This window comes from Homo sapiens, chromosome 4 (genome assembly GCF_000001405.40).
Source record: "Homo sapiens chromosome 4, GRCh38.p14 Primary Assembly".
In the NCBI taxonomy this organism is placed as follows: domain Eukaryota; kingdom Metazoa; phylum Chordata; class Mammalia; order Primates; family Hominidae; genus Homo; species Homo sapiens.
The window spans coordinates 89,843,666-89,848,744 of NC_000004.12; positions in this window are offsets into that span (position 1 = coordinate 89,843,666).

Here is a 5,079-nt window from a genome sequence, read left to right on the forward strand (position 1 = left end):
CATTAAGATATAGACAGAATGGTATACACATGCACACTCACAATATTATGACATTATGTATACTAAAGAAAGCAGTAAAATTATTTGCCATGTCTTTTCAAATGTAAAAGAGACATGTGTTTAATGACTTTATCTCTGTGTAAGTGTCTGTGGCAACAATCAATTAAATGAGAATTCAATCTCCTTAATCATCTTGGATTATGCCCTTAACCTGTAGGGAGCTAAAATAACATCTCAAGGTAGATTAAAAGTCAAAGTGGATTTCAAACTGGACAGGACAATCTGACATGACACTTCCCAAATATAATCATCCTTTATTTTCTGTTATACAAGTAGTATATGCTCATTAAAGAAAAGTGATTAAATGCAGATAAGAAAAAGAAAAAAATCAGTATGCCTAGCAATAGGAGATAAACTTCTACTTTCCTACTAAAAATTACCTTTTCTAAAAGGTAATTTAAAAATATGTATCAAAATCCCTCAATATGCATCTTGACTCAGCAATTCCATTTCTAGAAAGATATCTTAAGAAAATATCATTTATCAAAGAAATAAATTTTATGCCATCTTATAAAATTTTAAGAACTGTATTCCTGCATATCCCATAAAAAGTTTTTACCAATCCAATTGTCCAAGTTAAATTTTTGGCTGGTTACACTCCCTCTTTTTGTGATATGTCACACAACTGGTAAATGATGAGGCACTTTGACTCCATATTTCTTCTTAAGCAACACACAATACAATCTCAAGCCTCTGCAGTTGAACTTTTTCTCCACTTGTTCTCTCTCTTTAAGAAATGAAAGTTAACTTTAACCATCTCATAAATTTGTGAAAATGAATCGCGCTAATGCACGTAAATAACTACCATGATGGTGTGTGAAAGGGCTGCTCCCACTTAGCTTCTAAATCAAGTTTTAGGAAGAAAACAAGAAAGAAAATCATTTTGCTGCTCTTTTCCTAACTGGAACAAAAATACATATACCAAAATAATGCTCACAGAAGTAAAGGATATATTTATCTATGGACACAGAAGAGCTACTAATCGGATGAAAAGAAAGTGGGGTTACAAAAACTTTTCCAGTCAGGCAGAAATACACCAAAACAAAGTCAAGATAAAAAAAAAAACTACCTAGAGCAAAAGAGAATTGACCCAAGTGTGAAAATTTGAAACAAACTAGAAAAGCCAAAATTTAAGTCAGAGACAAAAATATTTGAAAACATTAAACATGCTCTTCCCTAAAACAATTCTCTTCGTTTCCATACCATAAAATATAGTTCTGTTAGAATAGCTTCAAATAAAAATCCATCAGATTATATCAGTACAGTCAGGTCCATCTTGGGAGTCATCAGTTGAAATAGTTGAAGAGCTTTCAACTCTGTTTTCATATGTACAATATTTGGTTAATAATCTTTTTATATAATGTAATTATAACAGCATGAATTTATGTAAAATACACTGTTTTTCTTCAGGGAGTTGAGAATCTTGACTGAGAATATTGCAAGTGTTCTCCTCTCTTTACTACACAGCTACAAAATGCTTCTTGTATTTGCAATAATGCAGAGAGACTTATCCAAAGATGAGTAGAGGCTCACGTCTTATATTGTCAGGGCCTGAAACCTGCCTAGCAGAATGGCAGAGAAGTAGCTTAGCAGGCCATGCCATGCGCTCTCTCCATTGTAGAGAGGGTCAGCATCTGAGAGACTGCTCTCCAAAGACTTATGTCTAGATAGAGTCACTTGTCCCCATCAAAGAAAAGAGCATGCTCTTCAGTTCTTACCTTGGAGTGAACCCTAATCTGACTGATATTTTTATAAGAAGAGCAGATTAGAACACTGACACACACACACAGAAGACAATATAAAGACACTGGAAGAAGACAGCCATCTGCAAGCCAAGGAGAGAGGCCTTAGAAGAAACCAACCCCGCTGATACATTGATCTCAGACTTCTAGCTTTCAGAATTGGTAGAAAATAAATTTCTGTTGTTTAACCACACAGTCTGTAGCATTTTGTTATGGCAATCCTAGCAAACTACTACATCAGGGTGATATTTATATTTGTATATAAAGCTGTATATAATTTGCATATAAAATTTATATATATAAATTCTCTTTTGCTCTAGGTAGAATCTTTCTTTATTTTGACCTTTGTTTTGGCATAGCTACATAATGAACATTATATACTGCTTTGTCCAGAAAGCCTAAAGTTTGTAGAAGCTACATGACTGGCCCAAGATTAACCAACTGGTACTATACCTATGGAAGACATGAAGACTTACATCACATATATATCACATAAATCATTATATCCTATATATATGTATGTGTATACACACATGAGATATCTGATGCCTTCCGTGTGTGTGTGTGTGTGTGTGTATATATATATATATAGAGAGAGAGAGAGAGAGAGAAAGAGAGAGAGAGAGAGAGAGATCATAGCTACTAATCCATCCTTTTGTCTACTCTATTGCAATCAAATATGCCAGGGAATAAAATACATAAAATTAGCACCATCATCTCCATTGTAAATGCTTGTTTCACACTCTGTGGGCTTCAGAAGGTGGAGAACAAAATCTGGACATAGAAAACATAAGCTGGCACTACAAATATTTTACAATAAATATGCACAACTAAAAATAAATTTCTGGAGTTGAATTTGAGGCTCTAAAAGCAGCCTCATCAATATCATATGGCTGTTATAATTTCAGCACTCACTCTTTAAAAAGGGTATTGAGGGGAGGTTAACTTCAAAAATAATTAGTGTGGTAAACAATGTTTAGGTCTGAGAATGTACAAAATTGGATTAAAATCAAATTATAAAGAATATGCTGTTGTATTTTACCACTCTTATTAGAACCAACTGGAAGAACAAAAGCATCCATTAACTCTTGAACTTCTTACCCTGTAGGACTTTCATTCTAAGCTGTCTAGAAAACTCAGTAGAAAATGTGGAAGGTTGATTGCTAAACAGGGCATAGACAATAAAGAATATTGCTATATTCTAAAGGATTGATCTTTTAAATGTATTTCTCTGGGCTTTGAAATTCTGATTGCAGACCGATGCGTTATTACATATTCAGTTTGAACTGATGGCTATTTGTTGAACAATTGAGGGCCACACATTTCTTTACATCTCCAGTGCCTGCCTTGTGTCCAGAGCAAGCATCCAGGAGATTCCCAAGAGATTCCTCACCTGCTGATCTTCAGATCATAGCACTCAGCCTCTCCTTTGATGTCATTTTTTCTTATTGCAGCAAATGGTCTCCTTACCCAAGGGATCCCTGTTAGGGCTAGGGGCCTGCTTTGGTCTGGACAGGACCTGTCCTTAGAGCTTAGCAATTTCTTTCAACGGCTTCCTAAATGCAGACTTCTTTCTACATGAAAAGACTGCTAACAGTTGATTTGAAATCTTATTGAATCATTCTAGTTCATCTGTTTGATATTTTAATGACAATAAAGTTGGTTTAGGCATTTTAATTATTTCCGTTTTCTTACCCAGAGTTTCCACTTTTACTGATGATATTATTTTTCCATTAAGGAACCAAATTTATCCAGGTGGTAGAATTATTTATTTTAGTAGAGTGAAGGAACTTACCAGAATGAGAAAAGACAGCTTTAAGGAATTCACTCATCTTTCTCTATTCCTTTTACCTGGTTGTTGGATTATTTATTTCCCAGACTCAGTTCAGAAACTGTTGCCAAAAGACAAAATTACAACTTATTTAAAGGTCTTAATTGGCTTTTATCTGTAATTCTAGAATCAGGCTACACTTCATTCTATATAATATAATGAGTTTTTTGATAAGCTGAGCAGAGGAGTTTGGTTTTATATACAGTAAAAGGCCAAGGAAAGCAGAAACAGAGAGCAAAAAGTAGATTTCTTATTTCAAAGGTTCTTTCCTTATAAAAGTTAAAGCAGAGGGGACTTCCTTATCATGCTAGCTAAAACTGGCTCCTCTAGGGATTTGGCTATTGTCTCTTACTCTCTTGATTTCTAGGAAGGTCAGACAAACAACTTAGTTTTGGCTTGATAATGTGGGACTGTAACATGAGTCACTATTTTTGTCTGGTCCCTTGGGCCTAGTGCAAGATCTCAGTCCAAAGCAATGGCTCCCATAAATTTTATTTCACACCATCAATCCTGGCAGAAACACTTTTCAATGACAGAATTATTGAACACTCTGTGAAAAAAATGAAAACTTGAGAGCAGCTGTCCAGTAGGGTGTGAATTCATGGACCCTTTGGGAAAAATTAGGCTACTCTTGTTACTACATTAGTTTTATACTATATTCTCCAAATTTCCTGTCCTTCCAGTTGTGATAGAGTGTGTTTTGTGTCCTGATATGTATACTCAGTGGATAAATTGTGATTCAAGAGGAACCTTAAAATAAATACAGTTTTATAGATGCTGAAATTGAATGCCAGGGCTGGGCATGTTGTCTCATGCCTGTAATCTCAGCACTTTGGAAGGCTGAGGTGGGAGGAATTCTTGGGCCTAGGAATTTGAGACCTGTCTGGGCAACAAAGGGAGATCCTGTATCTACAAAAAATTTAAAAATTAGCTGGGCTTGGTGGCATGCACCTGTAGTACCAGCTACTTGGGAGTCTGAGGGGGGAAGATCACTTGAACATGTGAGGTCGAGGCTGCAGTGAGTAGTGATCATGCCGCTGCACTCCAGGAGCTTGGGTGACAGCGCAAGGTTCTGTCTCAAAAACAAAAAAAAACGAACAAAATCACAAGGAATAAACATGATTATACAGGCAGTAAGGATTTTGACAACATGAAGGGACTCTGAATACAAAAACAAATATTTATGGTCCTAATCAAATCACTGGCACATTTTTCCATGGACATAGTAAACAGAGGAGATTAACATTGTACTGATTCAGGATATGGAATACTTCTGTTTTAATAAATAACAGCAGAATATTTGTACAGTAAATAATAATAATAAATTTATTAATCATTTTATAGGGTCCTAGAAAAGATGTATCTTATTGATGAATATTTAAGGTTTGATAGAAAGTAATAACTTCTGAGAATTAATTTCTGTTTTACAACTAGATGTCATAGTTG